Source organism: Homo sapiens, chromosome 20 (assembly GCF_000001405.40).
Source record: "Homo sapiens chromosome 20, GRCh38.p14 Primary Assembly".
NCBI lineage: Eukaryota > Metazoa > Chordata > Mammalia > Primates > Hominidae > Homo > Homo sapiens.
In genome coordinates, this window is record NC_000020.11 from 45,061,319 (window position 1) to 45,080,688 (window position 19,370).

A 19,370-nucleotide genomic window follows, 5' to 3' on the forward strand; every position below is an offset into this window, starting at 1 on the left:
ATGGCTTCAGTTACCCACAACCACCGAATATTAAATAGAAAATTCCAGAAATAAACAATTCATGAATTTTAAATTATGCGTCATCCTGAGTAGTATGAGGAAACCTTGTGCCATCCTGCTCCATCCTGCCTGGGACATGAATCATTGCTCTGTTCAGCATATCCACTCGGTTGCACCCATTAGTCACTTAGTAGGCATCTTGGTTATCATAAAGACTGTTGTGGTATTGGTATTACAGTGCTTCTGTTTAACCCTTTTGTTTTATTTTAGTATGGAAATTTTTTTTTTTTTTTTTACTTTTAGGTTCAGGGGTACATGTGCAGTTTTTTACATAGGTAAACTGCATGTCTCTGAGGTTTGATGTAGATTATTTCATCACCAAGTAATTAGCATAGTACCCAATAGGTGATTTATTGATCTTTTCCCTTCTCCCACTCTCCACCCTCCAGTAATCCTCAGTGTCTATTGTTCACCTGTATGTACTCATGTTTTTGTTGTTTAGATAAGTGAGAACATGCAGTATTTGTTTTTCTTTTCTTTTCTTCTTCTTCTTCTTTTTTTTTTTTTTTTTTTTTGAGATGGAGTCTTGCTCTGTCTGTCGCCCACGCTGGAGTGCAGTGGGGCGATCTCAGCTCACTGCAACCCCCGTCTCTTGAGTTCAAGCAATTCTCCTGCTTCAGCCTCCTAAGTAGCTGGGATTACAGGCATGTGCCACCACACCCAGCTAATTTTTGTATTTTTAGTAGAAACAGGGTTTCATCATGTTGGCCACCCTGGTCTGAAATTCCTGACCTCAAATGATCCTCCCACCTTGGCTTCCCAAAGTGCTGGGATTACAGGTGTGAGCCACCGTGCCTGGCCTCAGTATTTGTTTTTCTGTTCCTGTGTTAGTTTGCTTAAGATAATGGCCTCCAACTCCATCCATGTTGCTGCAGAGGACATGATCTTGTTCTTTTTTATGGCTACACAGCATTCCATGGTGTATATGGACCATATTTTCTTTATCCAGTCTACCGTTGATGAGCATTTAGGTTAATGCCATGTCTTTGCTATTGTGAATAGTGCTGTGATGAACATTATTGTGCATGTGTCTTCATGATTTATATTCCTTTAGGCATATACCCAGCAATGGGATTGCTGGGCCAAATGGTAATGCTGTTTTAAGTTCTTTGAGGAATCACCACGCTGCTTTCTGCAATAGCTGAACTAATTTACATTCCCACCAGCAGTGTGTAAGCATTCTCTTTTCTCCACAACCTCGCCAGCATCTGTTATTTTTTGACTTTTTAGTAATAGCAAAAAATTCTGACTGATGTGAGACGATAATCTTACTGTGGGGTTTTTTTTTGTTTTGTTTTGAGACGGAGTCTCGCTTTGTCGCCCAGGCTGGAGTGCCCAGCTTTGTCGCCCAGGCTGGAGCGCGATCTTGGCTCACTGCAAGCTCCGCCTCCCGGGTTCACGCCATTCCCCGGCCTCAGCCTCCCAAGTAGCTGGGACTACAGGCGCCCACCACCACGCCCGGCTATTTTTTTTTTTTTTTTTTTTGTATTTTTAGTAGAGACAGGGTTTCACCATGTTAGCCAGAACGGTCTCAATCTCCTGACCTCGTGATCCGCCCGCCTCGGCCTCCCAAAGTGCTGGGATTACAGGTGTGAGCCACCGCACCCGGCCTTTTTTTTTTTTTTTTTTTTTTTTTTTTTTGGACACAGGGTCTTGCCTGTGTCACTCAGGCTGGAGTGCGGTGGTGTGATCATGGCTCACTGCAGCCTCGACCTCCTGGGCTCAGTTGATCCACCCATCTCAGCCTCCTGAGTAGCTGGGACTACAGGGATGTGCCACTACACCTGGCTAATTGTTTTTGTATTTTTTTGTAGAGATGGGGTTTCACCATGTTTCCCAGGCTGGTCTCAAACTACTAGGCTCAAGTGATCCGCCCACCTCAGCCTCCCAAAGTGTGATTACAGGTGTGAGCCACTGCACCTGGCCTCATTGTGGTTTTCATTTGCATTTCTCTAATGATTAATGATGTTGAGCACTTTGAATATGCTTGTTGGCCACATGTACATTTTCTTTTGAAAAGTGTCTGTTCATGTCCTCTGCCCACTTTTTAACAGGAAGGTTTGTTTTTTGCTTATAAATTCGTTTAAGTTCCTTGTGGATTCTGGATATTAGATCTTTGTTGGATGCATAGTTTGCAAATATTTCCTCCCATTCTGTAAGTTGTCTGTTTACTCCCTTGATAGTTTACCTCTTGCTGTGCAGAAGCTCTTTAGTTTAATTTGGTTTCATTTGTTGATTTTTGTTTTTGTTGCAGTTGCTTTTGGTGTCTTCGTCATGAAATCTTTGCCAGGTCCTATGTCCAGAGTGGTATTTCCTAGGTTATCTTCCATGGTTTTTATAGTTTTAGATTTTACTTTTAAGTCTTTAATTTATCTCAACTTGATTTTTGTGTATGATATAAGGAAGGGGGGGGTCCAGTGTTTTTATTTATTTATTTATTTATTTTTGAGACGGAGTCTCGCTCTGTCACCCAGGCTGGAGTGCAGTGGTGTGATCTCGGCTCACTGCAAGCTCCACCTCCCGGGTTCACGCCATTCTTCTGCCTCAGCCTCCCGAGTAGCTGGGAATACAGGCGCCCGCCACTATGCCCGGCTAATTTTTTGTATGTTTTAGGAGAGACGGGGTTTCACTGTGTTAGCCAGGATGGTCTCGATCTCTTGACCTCGTGATCTGCCCACCTCAGCCTCCCAAAGTGCTGGGATTACAGGCGTGAGCCACTGCGCCCGGCCAAGGGGGGGGGTCCAGTTTTAATCTTCTGCATATGGCTAGCCAATTATCCCAGGACCATTTATTGAATAGGGATTCCTTTCCCCATTGCTTGTTTTTGTCAGCTTTGTCGACGATCACTTGGTTGTAGGTATACAGCCTTATTTCTAGGCTTTCTGTTCTGTCCCACTGATCTGTATGTCTGTTTTTGTACCAGTGCCATGCTGGTTTGGTTACTGTAGCCTTGTAGCCTAGTTTGAATTTGGTTAAACCAACTTCAAACCTGCAGCTTTGTTTTTTTTTTGCTTAGCATTGCCTTGGTGTTTTGGGCTTTTAAAAAATTCTGTATGAATTTTTAAACTGTTTTTTTCTAATTCTGTGAAGAATGTCATTAGTAATTTGATAGGAATAGCATTGAATCTGTAAATTGCTTTGGGCAGTATAGCCATGTTAACAATGATTCTTCCCATCTATGAACATGGAATGTTTTTTCATTTGTTGGTGTCATCTTTGATTTCTTTGAGCACTGTTTTATAATTCTTTAAGTAGAGATCTTTCACTTCCCTGGTTAGCTGTATTCTATTCACATATCTTTTATTTCCCTGGTATTTTATTTTTTTGTGGCTATTGTGAATGGGACTGAGTTATTGATTTGGTTCTCAGTTTGGACATTGGTATATAACAATGCTACTTATTATATTTTTGTACATTGATTTTATATACTGAAACTTTGCTGAAGTGGTTTATCAGATCAAGGAGCTTTTGGGCAAAGTCTATAGGGTTTTCTATGTATAGAATTATATTGTCTGCAAACAGATAGTTTGACTTCCCTTCTTCCTGTTTGGATGTCTTGTATTTCTTTCTCTTGTCTCATTGCTCTGGGAGGACTTCCAGTACTGTTGAATAGGAGTGGTGAGAAAGGGCATCCTTGACTTGTTCTGGTTTTCAGAGGGAATGCTTCCAACTTTTGCCCATTTAGTATGATGTTTGCTGTGGGTTTTTAGTAAATGGGTATTACTATTTTGAAGTAGTTTCTTCAGTTACTAGTTTGTTGAGGTTTTTTTTTTTTAACATGAAGGGATGTTGAATTGCATCAAAAGCCTTTTCTGCATCTGAAGTAATCATGTGGTTTTTGTTTTTAGTTCTGTTTATATGATGAATCACATTTATTGATTTGTGTATGTTGAACCAATCTTGCATCTCAGGGATAAAGACTACTTGATAGTGGTGGATTAACCTTTTTATGTGCCGCTGGATTCGATTTGCTAGTATTTTGTTGAGGATTTTCACATCCATGTTCCTCGAGAAAAATGGCCTGAAGTTTTTTTGTTTTTGTTTTTGTTTTTTGGTGGTTGTTGTTGTTGTATCTCTGTCAGGTTTTGGTGTCTGGATGATAGACATAGATGGACACCTCATAGAATAGGTTAGGGAGGAGTCCCTCCTCCTCAATTTTCTGGAATAGTTTCAGTAGGATTGGTACCAACTCTTCCTTATACATCTGATAGAATTCAGCTGTGAATCCATCTGGTCCTGGTCCTGGTTCTACATTTTGTAGCTTGTGAGTATAGAGGTGTTCATAATAGGTTCTGGGAATTTTTTGTATTTCTGTGAGGTCAGTGGTAATGTCCTCTTTGTCATTTCTGATTTTGTTTATTTGGCTCTTCTCTCTTTTTTTATTAGTCTAGCTAGTGGTCCATCTATCTTATTATTTATTTATTTATTTTTTTTCAGAAAACCAATTCCTGGATTCATTGGTCTTTTGCATGTTTTTTCACATCTCAGTTTCCTTCAGTTCAGCTTTGATTTTGGTTATTTATTTTTGTTAGCTTTGGGGTTGGTTTGCTTTTCTTTCTCTAGTTCCTCTAGTTTATATGAGTAACCCTTATTTTACTTAATAATGGCCCCAAAGCATAAGAGTTGTGATGCTGGCAATTTGGATTTGCCAAAGAGAAGCTGTAAAATGCTTCCTTGTTTATCTCTTACTGTGCCTAATTTAAAAATTAAACTTTATCATAGGTATATATGTATAGGAAAAAATTGTGTATGTGTATATATATACACACATTATATACATATGTATATACACATTATATATCTACACACACACACACACACACACACACACACACAGATATCTAGCTAGATAGTACCAAAATATATACATCTGTGGTTTTGGACATCCACTGGAATGTATCCCTTGTGGATAGGGGGGACTACTGTAATCACAAAAAACTAACAGTATGCAAGTACTTCATATTTTATAAAATGTTATTTAAAGAAGAAAACTTGTTTTTTGTGTTTGCCATTTATTAAATCATATTCTTTATACATACACGTGTGTACACGCACGATGTACTGAGTCTCCTCTCTAGGCTCTGTGGACAAAGTCTTTGGGTTATTTGAACGCAGTCTTCTAAGAGATCCGTGTCAGAGGTCTTGTCATTACATCACCATGCCTGCTTGAAGCCAGATTTCTTTGATTCACCCAGGCTTATGATCTGCATTTCATTCCAGTCTTCTTGGTAAATATTTTTTATATATGTGGTCAAGTTCTCTTTGTTTGGAATTTTGATAATGAGAACTGCAAGTGTTGATTAATTATAAACCTAAAATGGGATTGAGGCAATTGTTAACTCGTCGTGGTTTTGCTGCTTTCCCTCCTTATTGGAGAAGAATTAGGAAGACTTTATAGGGGACTGATGGAAAAATAATTTGGCATGACCATAATTTGAGTCAGAGAAAGTCTCTTATTAAAATTCCCACAAGGCTTATTTAAGGAGCAAGATCTTTTGAAACTAATGGTGTGGTACTTACTTAATCCACACAAGTTATGATTTGATTGTCATCTTCTTTGATTTTTCTGCTTGGCTTTCTGTCATCTGATGAGAGATTACTGCATTACCTGAGAATCTCATCTTATTAGAGTCACCTCTACCTAAACTAGAATCCATTCCTAAATAGTAACATACTCGCATCAAGAAAGAGTAAGTATCCTCGGTACTAAATTAGTGCTCTAGATGCCTTTGTACATTTTTTTTGTTGCACTTTTCCGGACTTTCTAGTGGCCAGTGTTGAGGTATGGGATGGTATGATGGTGGCTTCATTCAACTTTTTAGCTTCTATCGAGCTTCCCTGTCATCTTGCTAAATTCCAAAGGTGTGTTCTTTCCTCATTCTTGGTCACAACAAAACATCACCTGAGACGGGATCAGTCTGACTCGCCCAACCAGAAGGGATGATGTGTTTGAGAAATCCTGTTTGTGACACTGGAGGAAGAATTGTGACTGTTCATATATGATACATATGGAATTGAAACTTGTCCTTAAAAGCTCTGGCAGGTCTCTCTTTGATGGTTTTTAGGGACAATAGACTTTTGAGGTGAGAGTTTGTAGTGGCAGAGGAGCAGAACTTTGAAATAGGCCTAAACCCTGTACTTTGGATATGGGCCAGACCCATTTGTGTTCCCTATGGGGCTGGTTGACAAGGGAAGAGGAAGCTCTACTATACATTCTCATGTGTTTAGTGTAGCTTAACTCTGCTGATTCAAGATGGGCTAATTGTCAGTGTAATTCCTTTGAATTATCTCTGTGATGAAGTATCAGCTGGAGCTTGCCAGTGGCACTCTGGGCCAATTATGCAGCCGACTTTGAAAAATGGTATGATTCAGAATGTCAGAGTTGCTAAGGTGATTTATGAAGAAATCAGTTCCCATCAGCCTTCATTATTCATAGAGATGCTGGGAATCAGGACTTTGCAGTGACCTGGCCCAGAGGAAATAAACCAGGTGGGTATGATTTAGGGTTTCTCACATAGAGTTCAATAGAGGTGCCTCTGTGTATGTGGTATGTGTCCTGTACCGTGTTGTGAGCTCATCTTAGAGCAACAGCAGCTATTATTTACATTACATACTTCCTCCATTTCCCAAAAAAGGATATAAGGTGGTAGCCTTCACTTACCCACTTTCTTTCTGGTGGATGCATGACATTATGTTATATACCTTACCAATACCTCCAAACCTCACAACCGCTGTTGTAGAACGAATAATGTCCTCCATTGAAAAATGAGAAAATTGAGGCACATATTAGATGATTTATGCAAAGGCATCCAACTACCAAGGGCAGAACTCGTATAGAACCCGGTCCATCTGACTTAACACCAGTGCTCTTGCCCCTAACCTGAGCTGCTTCTCTGACAGGTGTATTGCCCTTTATATTCATGTTGCCCAGCAGTGTTCCTGGCCTAGCGTAGCTGCCAATAAAATTGATTGATTTGATTTGAATCATATTCAGCACCCTGGAGTCACTGCACGTCAGCAGCAGCACCATGTGTGTAGTAGGCACTTGGTGCCTACTACAAAAGGCACAAAAGCAGCAAAGTAGATAGCATACCCATTTTACAGATGAGAAAACGGAATCTCAGAGAGGACAAGTAACTTGCCTAAAGTCACCCGTTACCACTAGTGGCATTTCTGAATGTGAGGGCCATCTGATGTATCTAATATCAGCTAAATTCATAATTCTTCCAGTCTTCCACATTTTTCACAAACACACTCCCATTTCCAGAAACCCTTCATGTTTCTTCCAGTTGCTTGTTGTCTCTTCTAATTCCTTGTTGTATCACTTAAATTATTTTCCCACTCTTATCCTCAGTGACCTCATCTCTAAAAGGAGGATAATGATGATACCTACCTTACAGATGGATTAAATAAAATAGTGCAGACAAAATGTTGAGTTCAGCATTTAACAGATGCAAATGGTGAAGTAATTAACATACTTCTTCCATATCTATGTGTAGAATCCAACAGTAACACAGCATTTGTATCCTGCTAACAGAGTGAGGCTGAACTTTAAACTAAAAATATGTCTACTTTAAGATACAACACATTTCCAGAGATCACATCTTTTAAGAGAAATCTCATCTGCACAAATGTTGTTGCTTTTACTTATTCAGACATCCTTTGGCAGACATCAGACCTCATCAGACTGGGTAAAGGCGATGGTGAGGGAATTCTAGGTGTTAGACAATAGTGAGTGAGTTCCCATAAGACATTAGTACTGTCAGGCTCGGAGCCCGTCCTCTTCCTTTACCCAAGACTGATGTGTTGCTTAGCCTTATGATGGCAAGGAAATTCTAAATAACCATGATTAAGAGGCTTATTTTAGTTTCTCCTTCCACTGTGATCTCTCCCAGAAAGAGACTCAGAAATCCTTATACTTGGTCTGATCTCTTCAGCAAAACCCACCTTCAGTAGCAAGCCTGTGGCTCTAGGGTTGGCCCTTATTTTGTCTTGTCCAGCAGGATGGTGTCTCTTATTCTTTTGATGATCTCATTCTTTCCAAAGTGTATTTCTTATAACAGAAGTTCTTTTTTGTTTGAATAAACAGTTTAAATGGACATGCCTTTAGAGATAACTTAGCCAGGACTGGAGCCCTGCTTCTTATCAGACATTACAAAACACAGACATTCTCATTAAGTGAACAGAGATTTCCTTTGATTTCAAAAGAATGTTAAGGGGAATTACTTTTAAGTTTAAAAGCTCCTTGAGGGCAGAACGCACTTCTTATTCTACACTGACTCTTCTTAGCACCCATCCAGAACCTTGTTGCATATGATGATGCCCCATGTAAGCTTGCTTCATTGGTTTCAGTGGCTTTTGTTCTTAGTTGACTAGAAATGAAGGATAATTTATTCATTTCTTCAACCAGTATTACGTTTAGCATAGTAAACAAGACAAGGTCAATCCCTTACAGAACTTATATCCTAGTAAGAGAGACAAGTAAAAGAAAATAAATAAAAATAATTACAAGGTACATAATTGTTTTGAAGAAAACAAGAGTCTGAGATAGAGGATAATGGAGAGGAGGCAGTCTTTCTAGATAAGATGGTCAGAAAAGGCTTGCCTGCATCCTCTGAGGAGTTGACATCTAAACTAAAACCTGTAGGTTAAGGAAGAACAGGGCATGAACCATGCAGGCAGAAGATTCATTAACTCTGTAGGCCACTGAGGCTGGAAAAAGTATGGCCTGTTTGAGGATCTGAAATAAAGTGTAGCTGTAGGGTCCTGAGCAAAAGAGGGAGTAATAGATTATGAAGTTGGAGGGGAGGCAGGGGCCAGCCATATGAGGCCCATGTAGCCACTCATGAGTTGGATTTTATTCTCAGTGCAATAGGAAAGAAACCTAAGGGTGAGGTGATTGGATTCATTTCTGTGTTTTTAATTATGTTTGTTGCTGTGAGATGATGGCAGCCTGGACCAAGGTAGATGGAGATGGAAAAAAGTGGTTGGGTTTGAGTTATACCAATATTTCAGGGACAAAATTGATAGGACTGCTAAAGGATTGGATGTTGGCAGGAGGCGGGGGTGAGGGAAAAGGAAGGATCAGGGATGATTTTGAGCAAATGGAAGAATGATGATACCATTCCTGAGATGGGGAAGACTGGGGAGTAAGGAGACAAGATTTGGGGATGAGGAAGGGATGTGACTCAAGAGTTTTGCTTTGGATGTGTTAAGCTGCAGATTCTATTAGCGTGGTGGCTCACACCTGTAATCCCAGCACTTTGGGAGGCCAAGGTGGGCAGATCACCTGAGGTCAGGAGTTTGAGACCAGCCTGGCCAACATGGCGAAACCCTGTCTCTACTAAAAATACAAAAATCTAGCCGAGCGCAGGTGGCAGGCGCCTGTAATCCCAGCTACTTGGGAGGCTGAGGCAGGAGAATCGCTTGAACCCAGGAGGCAGAGGTTGCAGTGAGCTGAGATCTTGCTGCTGCACTTGCCTGGGGGACAGAGCCAGACTCCGTCTCAAAAAAAAAAAAAAAAAAATCAGATCTCATCAGGCTTACTATCATTAGAATAGCATGGGAAAGACCTGACCATGCTATTTAATTACCAAGATTTAATTACTTTCCACTGGATCCGTCCCATAACATGTTGGAATTGTGGGAGCTACCATTCAAGATGAGATTTGGGTGGGGACACAGCCAAACCATATCACAGATTTTTCACGAGATAATCAGGGACTGAAATATCCAGTGGGAGCTGATCTGGATGTGCGAGTATGGAGTATGGGTATCACAGAATAGAGAGGATATTCACATCCTATGGGATAGATGAGGTACTGAATGGGTGATATTTCCCATACCTCGTGAAAACAGCTCAAGCTACTTACATGGCTGGATTGAGAATTTGCTGCTTCAAGATTCTGGCTGTAGCAAAACTGTAGAATCACAGTTATTTTACTGCAAGATATTCATTTGAAATGTATTTATGCCACCAAGGACCAGGAAGGTGAAATGCTACACTTGGCGCCATGAAACTATTGTCTGAGCTTGTTTTTCGGAAAAATCCATATCTGGATGATATGACTGAGTCATCAGCAGTGCCTGGCTGGCTGTGTTGTAATAGGTCAGATGTAACTTAAGCCCCAAAGTTCTTAGGACAGCCATAAATTAGTCTGAAGGTGGCTGAGATAAGGCAAGGGTGCTTGTTGCCTCCAGATTAGAATCAAGGGCAACAAAACTGCCTAGAAATTGGAAACCCAGGAGAAGCTTTAGGCTAGAGACAGGCAGCAATACTTTGTGAGAATTTTACTAACAGAAAAATAAGGAAGATACAGAATCATGTTTATCAAACTTGAGGATTTATAAGAAATACCTGTATAGCTTCTTTATTTTAGTTTATTTTTATTATTATTTATTTATTTTTGAGACAAGGTCTTGCTCTGTTGCCCAGGCTGGAGTGCAGTGGCTCAGTCACAGCTCACTGCAGCCTTGGAGTGGGCTCAAGCGATCCTCCCATCTCAGCATCCTAAGTATCTGGGACTATAGGTGTGCACCACCACACCTGGCTAATTTTTTTTCCCCCGTAGAGATGGGATTTCACTATTTGCCCAGGCTGGTCTGGAGTTCCTGGGCTCAAGCAATCCTCCCACCTTGGTCTCCCAGAGTGCTGGGATTCAGGCATGAGCTACCATGCCCAGCGTGAATACCTTCTTCAAAATGCAAAATCCTGTACCTCACCTCCCAGGGAGTCTTATTAAGTAGCTTTGGACTGGGGCTCAGGAATCTGTGTTTTTAGCAAGTGATTCTGATACAGGTGATCCATAGGTCATACACTGAGAAACATTGAGTCTGGAAAGACTTCTGAGATCATCTAGTCAGCCCTGTCTTACAAATGGGGAAATTAAGGTCTGAGGAGGAGAACGGGCTTGCCCAAAGTTGCAGAATAAGTTGCAAAGTCAGTGCAGCTCCACTAACTTATATGTCTTCATTTTGCAATTTATTCTTCATCCTAGTGGCTAGATGAAAAGCAAGTCTACCCTCCTAATTCCCAGCTCCCCTTCTTTCACACTATTTTTTATTTTCTTTTTTCCAGAGCACCTTCTAATATAAAAATAATTTACTAATTTACTGTGTTTATTGCTATTTTCCTTGCTTCATTAAAATGTAAGCTTCACAAGGGCACTGCTTTTTGTTTGTTTGTTTGTTTTCATTAAAGTAGCCTATGTGCCTCGAATAGCACCTGACCCATAGTAGGTGTTCAATGAGTATTTATAAATGGATGGGTGAAAAATATTTTGTTAAACTGTACATAAGTTAACAGGTATTATGTACCAGCCCTTAGGCATTAGCATGAAATAGAGTAGAATATTTTCTTTTTCACATGTTTGATTCTAGCTTGAATTAGAGGTTACAGAAACAGCTTATTTATGGAAGATTAATTAGAGACTTACCAATCATATGTACAATAATAATAAGAATAACAATAGCAACAATAACAACAGTGATAACATCCATTTGTGGAATATTTACTATCTGCCCAACACATACTATATGAAGTTCTGAGCTAAGACCATCAGACCATTATCTCATGTAAGTCTTAGTACCGCCCCAGGGTGGAGGAACAAAATAGTATTGTCTGTTTTCCAAAGGAGGAAACCGAGGCTCAAGAGGTGAAATTACTGTTTAAGGTTACATAGCCAGTACAGATTTAGGACCTGTGATCCCAAAGATTACATTCTTAACTACCAGTTACATTCAGTAGTAGGCTTGGGGAATTCTCTCTTTGCAGAAGGAATTGAAAATGCCAAAGACTAGGCAAGCATTGCTATTAGGGGTGTCCTTGGGCCAAGAACACCAACCTCTAAGGTAGTATAAAACCACAGGCTGGAAAGATGCATTTTTTTTTTCAGCCCGACTTTCCAGCATTTACCCACACTCTCAAGTCTTCCATTCTCACATTACAAAGAACCTTTCGTCTTGAACTATTAGGGTTTTCTCACTTCTCAGACACCCTCCCTGAAGCAGGCCAAGGAAAATTCCTGTGGTGACAGGCCATTTCTAGGGAGGCCACTGTAGCACTTCACACTTGCTCTCACCCCACCCACTCAAGGAAGGGTAGACAGACAGAGGGCCCTTTACCCAGCTCCTATACTACTTTCCTGTGGAGACCTCAGGAAAGGGCCGAGGATCATGATTTTCTAAATGTGGGCACAACAGACCTCTTGTAAGACTTTGAGTTCTTGAAACACTGTACCTATTAAACTGGTTGTGAGCACACAGAATAAAGTATCACCACCCACTGTGGATAATGTCAGCATTCATTCCCACCCCTGACAGCCAATATTGGCCAGGCTTGGAATCACTGAACACACATGGCAGCAGAGTCCCTTGCCCCATAGCTGCAGACACAGGTTGAACACTGGTGTATCCCTGGGCTTTTATGAAGAGAGAGGCTTATAACACCCATTGCCATCTTTACACACACAGTGCAGCAGGTACTGTGCTGAGAACTTTACAGCCGTGATCTTATTTAATTCTTACAATACATGTGATGAGACACTGCTGTCTGACTTCTGTAGATGGGGAAGGCCTGGAGAGATTGGTAACTTGACAGAGTCTCATGGCATCTGCAACAGGCAGAACCACATTTTAAACAAAGGTTGAGTTACTTCTAAAACCTGTGCTTTGCTAGTCTTCTGTTCTGCAACACTGGTTAAGAGCATAGACTCTAGAGCCATGCTGCCTGGGTTTGAGTCTTGATTCTGCCACTTACTAGTTGGGAGACATTGGGCAGGTTACTTAGCTACCCTCCTCCTTGGGCTGTTCATCTGTAACATAGGGATAATAATGTCCTTGTAGCATGGGTTGCTCTGAGGATTAAAGGAATCCATATATGTAAAGCACTCAGTGTCTGGTGCATAGAAAACACTAAATGCCAGCCATTATTATTAATTTATATATCAACTCATTGTTTTTCTTTGGATGATAGAAACTTAATCTCAGAAGTTTGAGGTTTTTCTAACTACCCACCCTTACCCCAACCCCTGCCAAGGGTTGCGTCTGTATTCCCAAGGGGCTTAGACTGTTACCTGGTATATAGTAGCCTCAAGTAAATGCTGGTGATGATAATAGGGCAGTGCCAAGACATTGGGGGTGTGGGAAGGCAGGGTTAGGGGATGGCATCTGCGCCTCATCAGCATCGATCCTCCATGGTGTCGTATCCTGAAAGTGGGAAAGGCGCTGTCCAGATAGACGCTTATCTCGTAGACAGAACAAGAACGGGGAGGCAACCATTATTTCACATACAGCAAGTTACTGTTATTTTAATGCCCTAACAATGAATCTATATTTAATTAACTTAAAAGATAGGGGAGGTGAGAGTATTATTCACTAAGTTCTTGGTCAAGGCACATTAAATCAAAGCGGTTAGCACTTAGATCTCTTCCAGGGATAAATTATCTCAGACAAGCTTCAAGGTATGCCATGCTTTGGAATGAATTGTCACTTTCCAACCACCACCACTCAACCTGTGATCTGACCACAGTGTCTTCCTCCTGTCTCCCTTCCCTCTGGGTGCCTGGGAAGGCTGGGCTTCTGCACTGTTCTGCCACTGACTTAAGCTTTGTCGTGACTATACCTTCCACTTCTCTTCTAGCTTAAGAGTTGGACAGTGGAGGACCTTCAGAAGAGGCTCTTGGCCCTGGACCCCATGATGGAGCAGGAGATTGAAGAGATCCGGCAGAAGTACCAGTCCAAGCGGCAGCCCATCCTGGATGCCATAGAGGCTAAGAAGAGACGGCAACAAAACTTCTGAGCAAGGCCAGGCTGTGAGGGCCCCAGCTCCACCCAGGCTTTGGGTGAATTCTGGATGGCTTGCCTCATGTTTGTTAGCCAGCACTTCTGCTCTGTCGTCTCTCCACAGCACCTTTGTGAACTCAGGAATGTGCGCCAGTGGGAAGGGCTCTCTTGACAGTCAGCGTGCCATCTTGATGTGTGTATGTACATTGGTCAGGTATATTATCTCAAAGGATTTATATTGGCGCTTTTAACTCAGAGTTTTAAACCCCAGGAACAGAGACTCCTAGTTGAGTGATAGCTGGGAAAGTTTTACATTGTCTGTTTTTCTTCTCCCAATAGCTTTCAATTGTTCTTTCTGGAAGACTTTTAAAAAAATATAAATATGCATATATATATATAAATTATAAATAGATTCCCCACGCAGTGTGGTGGCATCTCTGTACAGGTACAGTTTTAAACGGTTTGCCTCTTTTCTGTAAGATTATGGTACTGTGGAACATGAGGGCAGAGGACACCGGGAGGCTGTTAGGGGGTCACTGAATCCCAGGAGCCAACCTCCCCCTTTGCAGGGCTGCATTTAAAAATTAGGTTTGGGACAGTTCTTGTACCGTGGTTTCAGCCTTGTGTGGTCATCACTGGCTTCTGGAGCTATTGGTGATGTCCAAGGGAAAGCTTTGAGAGTTTATGTTTACTCTTTGAGTCCCAGGAGAAGCCTGGCACCCTCTTTGCAAATTGGCCTTTGCTCTTTCAATGCCTTTCATCCATCTCCACTCTCTCAACTGCCTAAAGTCACAGCACAGATACTGCCCAGTGCCTTAAGAGGAGACATGATCTCTACCAGGGACTCTCAGCAAACACGGGACTGTGTTCAGTCCACAAAGGAAAAGCGTTTTTGAAGCTCTCATTGTTCATGTAAAAATCATACACGTGGCATGTTGCTCCACATTCCTTACACACAGGGGTAGAGGGGATTGCTTTTGTGACCCACGTTCAAATATGTGACTGTTTTCTTTTCTCTTTTACTGCTAAGCAGCCTGGAAAGGATAAATGAATATTAGACTAAGATTTGTTTTCCAGGAGGCTCAATCTGAACACACAGAATGTCAGAGCTGGAAGGGACTATAGAGATCATCTGATCTGATCCTCTTGTACGGATGATCGCAAAACTGAGGTGTAGAGAGGGGAATGGCCAAAATCACAAAGCAAGTTAGCGTTAAGAGCTGAGACTAGAATTCAGGGTCCTCACTCCCAGGCCACCGAACCATGCAGCCCCTTCTTTGGGGGAAGAGACCTGTGTCAGTCTTGGTTAATTGTTCCAGGGAACCTTGCTAACAGAAACTTGCTCTTGCCTTGGCTCTTCAGTAGATGACCTGGCTGTAAAGAGATTCCCTGGACGAGCCAGATCATTCAGTTTCAGCGAGTCCTTGAGCTCCACAACATCTACCAGATATAGCAGACAAGCACCCATGGAGGCAGGTTTCGGGCCTGAAGCAGATCAGAGGGCTTTGCAAAAGACAGCATAGAGCCATCTTCCTGCAACTTTACCTCTTTCCCTCAGATGGGGAGCCATGACTGGGTTGCACCTCAGGATACTGTAATTTGACTCCATAATTGCTTTTGCTCCTGAAACCTGGGAATCAATGGAAAGGCAGGGAATGTGCCTCTTCTGTGGCCAGATTCTGTTATTTGCAATTAAAGCAAGTTTTTAAAAAATGCAAGAGGCAGTTGTTAGTCTTCAGGGCTTGGCAACTGAAATAGCTATGTGGCGGATACGGAAAACAGAGGACAATTTGAGGATCTTGCTGGAATAATAAATGACAGCTACCATTTGTTGAGCACCTATTATATATCAGGCACTGAGCTGGGTAGGCTCTAAACTTCACAATAACCCTGTGACTTAACTACTTTATCTCCATTTTGTAGTTGAAGAAATAAGTTCAGAGAGAAAGATTCCTTCCCAAGGTCATGCAGCTAGTAAATGATAGAATCAGGATTCATAGCATCACTATAGGGGGTCAATATTTACACAAAAAAGGAAAGTCACAAGCCTGTTTAAAATGAAGTGACCACCTTTTCTTGCATAGACTAAATAACTCGAACTGGCATTTTTAGGTTGGAAAGACAGCTGAATTAGTAGTTAAGTCTGATAGCCAAGTAAGTTTTAAAAACCAAAGCATCCAGGATGCACACCCCTGCACCATTTGCTGTGCGAATTAATAGTTCTGTCTCTCTCTCTCTTTCTTTTTTCTTTTTATTCTTTGAGATGGATTTTCGCTCTTGTCGCCCAGGCTGGAGTACAATGGCACGATCTTGGCTCACTGCAACCTCCGCCTCCCGGGTTCAAGCGATTCTTCTGCTGGGATTACAGCATATGCCACCATGCCCAGATTATTTTTTTGTATTTGTAGTAGAGACGGGGTTTCACCATGTCAGTCAGGCTGGTCTTGAACTCCTGACCTCAGGTGATCCACCCGCCTCAGCCTCCCACACTGCTGGGATTACAGGCATGAGCCACCGCTCCTGGCCTCTCTTTCTTTTTTAAACAAAGAACTTTGCACTTGGCCAGAGAGGAGGAGAAAGCCCATTTTCTCCCTTCCTAAGCTAGATCCAAATAAAAGAAAGTTCAGTTTTCCCCCATAACTATTCTTGGGTCATGAACTTTGATCTGGAGTTTGTTTTGTTTCAGGAATGTGTGCACCCAGCTTGCTGATCCAACAAAGTCTATTGCTTACCAGTCTAGCTTGATGAAGCCTTTTGGCCAGAAGTCAATTTGTTTTGGATCAGAGAAATTTCCTGACAAGGTATATTTGTTTTCTAGTGACAGAAAGGCAAAGGAACAAGTCCTAGTTGTTGTTGTTGTTGTTGAATACTAAATTTAAGATATGTCAGCTTGCTTTCAATGAGCCTTGGGCTTCTGTTATTGCTTGAGCATTTGGAACTCGAGCTTCCAGAGAAATTTGAGGTCCTCGCTTGTTCTCTGCCTTCAAGAAACAATGACCTGATTCTGTCTTTAAAAAAAAAAATCTCAGAATTCTTTTTTTGTTTGTGTTTTTTTTTTTTTTTGAGACAGAGTCTCACTCTGTTGCCCAGGCTGGAGTGCAGTGGCGCCATCTCGGCTCACTGCAACCTCCGCCTCCCAGGTTCAAGCAATTCTCCTGCCTCAGCCTCCCAGGTAGCTGCCACTACAGGTGCTGCACCACCACGCCCGGCTAATTTTTGTATTTTTAGTAGAGACAGGGTTTCACCATATTAGCCAGGTGGGTCTTGAACTCCTGACCTTGTGATCCACCCGCCTCGGCCTCCCAAAGTGCTGGGATTACAGGCGTGAGCCACCTTGCCTGGCCAAAAATCTCAGAATTCTTTAAGACTGTTTTAATTGCTCCATCAGTAATTTTGAAGCACTTTCCTTTTTTTTTTTTTTTCCCCTTTTTGTCCCTTTCCCCAAGCCACCAATTGGATGGATGAATGTTTGACGGGGAAGAGGAAGGGTAGGAGGATGCATGGATGAGTGGATGAGTGGATCGATGGATGTATTGATAAATAGATAGAACCAGTCATCTGAAGCAACTTAAGAATTGTAGCCTTGACTCCTTGAGACTGTAGATTTCGATCCAGGAAACATTTATTTAGCACCTGCCAGATGCCAGAAATTTATACCATTTAAAACTCAGTAAGTCTTTTAAATATCAGGAAGGAGAGAAGCGACATCATGATACATCCTATGGGTATTAAAAAGCCAATAGAATATTATGAATAATTTTATGCTAATAAATTTAACAACTTCAACATCATAAACAAATTCCTTGAAAAATAAAAAGTACCAAAATTCATTCAAGAAGAAATAGATACCAGCCTGAGCAACATGGCAAAATCCCATCTCTACAAAACATCAAAAAAAAAAAAAATTAGTCGGGCATGGTGGTGCACACCTGTAATCCCAGCTTGTCAGGAGGCTGAAGTGGGAGGATCACCTGAGCCCAGGGAGGTCAAGGATGCAGTGAGCCATGGTCTCACCACTGCACTCTAGCCTGGGTGACAGAATGAGACCCCGTCTCAAAAAAAAAGAAGAAGTAGATAATCTGAATAGCCCTATATCTATAGAAACTTAATAGTGCTGGGAGATATAGGTATTATTATCCTCATTTTACAGATGTGAAAATTGAGGCTCAGAGAAGTAAAGTCTATTGCTCAAGGTCATGTGGCTAGAATATGGCAGAGCCATGATTCAGATCCAGGTCTTCTGATTCTTATTCCAGTGTCCTTTCTAGCATACCATGTTGCCTCTAAAGATTGCAGCTCCTTATTTACTAGAAAATTGTTCCTGCCCAATCTACATCTCCACCTCACCCCATCTTTTCTTAAGCACTATGTTTGTGTTTTTATCAGTATTATATTCATTGTCTTTGGAATACATGTTCTTGTTTGTGTTTGGAAAAAAAATCTCTTTTACCAGCTTGCACTCGGACCAACTTGGAAAAAAAAAAGCTTAAATGTTTTTGCTATGTACAGTTTAAAAATGTGAAGTTTGTAGCTTTAACTTTTTGTAAGAAAATCTAATAACACTGGCTTAAGTGCTGACTTGAAATGCTATTTTGTAAGGTTTGGATGTAAGTAATCAATTGAGGTCAGCAGTTTGTATGAGACATAGCTTCCTCCATTGCCCCCACTCCTTTTTTCTTTTTTAAGTTTGAGATGCTTCCTGTGTTTTTATGTTAGAATTGTTGTTCTCCTTCTTTTCTTCTTCCTATACCTCATCACGTTTGTTTTAAATAAACTGTCCTTTGGACCACAAACCCTTATTAACGAGAACCTCAATATATAGCCTGGATAATGGTGTTGTGAACAATCTTTGTGACATTGACTCAGTGGTGTGTTTATTCTAAGATCCAAAGCTGGGGAGAGGTTGGTAAACTTTTGTTGGGCTTCTATTATGTGCCAGGGTACTGAGCTAGTTATCAGGAATATAATAAAGATGAACCAGATACAGTTTTTGCAGGGCATTTGGGGAGTTAGCCAAGCACAAAAACACACAACATTGAACATACCATGGTAGAAGAAGGTACAGGGCCTGTGGATACACAGAAGAGGGAGTGACGGTTCTGCTGGGATGTCCAAGGAAACTCTTCTAGAGGAGACAATATACCTTGAAACTTTAAAAATGAAGAAGAGATGGCTAGATTAATAAAGAGTAGGAAGTGAGGGAGAGAAGACATCCTGGACAGAAGAGCCCGCCTGTATAAAGCCTCTAGTGTGAGATGATCACCTTGGAATCCTTCATCCTCATCTGCTGCTGCACGAAGCCAGGCCAGACGTGGCCCAGCATTCAGAGGTGGAACAGCAGGTTCCTGCCCTGGTGTGGCCCATTCTTATCCAGGAATAGTTCTCCAGCCTGACCCTAGGTTTTTTTTTCAGCCTTAAAAGTTGACCCCACGGCAGAGAGGGAATAGAGTTACATTGAAAAGTAAGTGTAGTTCTCTTGAGTGAAATTGCTCTACAGTATTTAATAGAATAGTTCCACAGTCTGTGTA

At 41.5% G+C, this 19,370-nt stretch overlaps 1 protein-coding gene across 7 annotated transcripts in view; it reads left to right on the forward strand.

The window, feature by feature from the left end:
• Positions 1-18,703, forward strand: part of STK4 (serine/threonine kinase 4) — a 113,510-nt gene extending 94,807 nt beyond the window's left edge. For all 7 annotated transcript variants that reach the window (XM_017028031.3, XM_011529018.4, XM_047440425.1 and 4 more), the window contains one exon: positions 13,700-18,703. In XM_017028031.3, the coding sequence (XP_016883520.1) occupies positions 13,700-13,858 (159 nt within the window). In that variant the 3' untranslated portion in view covers positions 13,859-18,703. The remainder of the gene's footprint in view (positions 1-13,699) is intronic.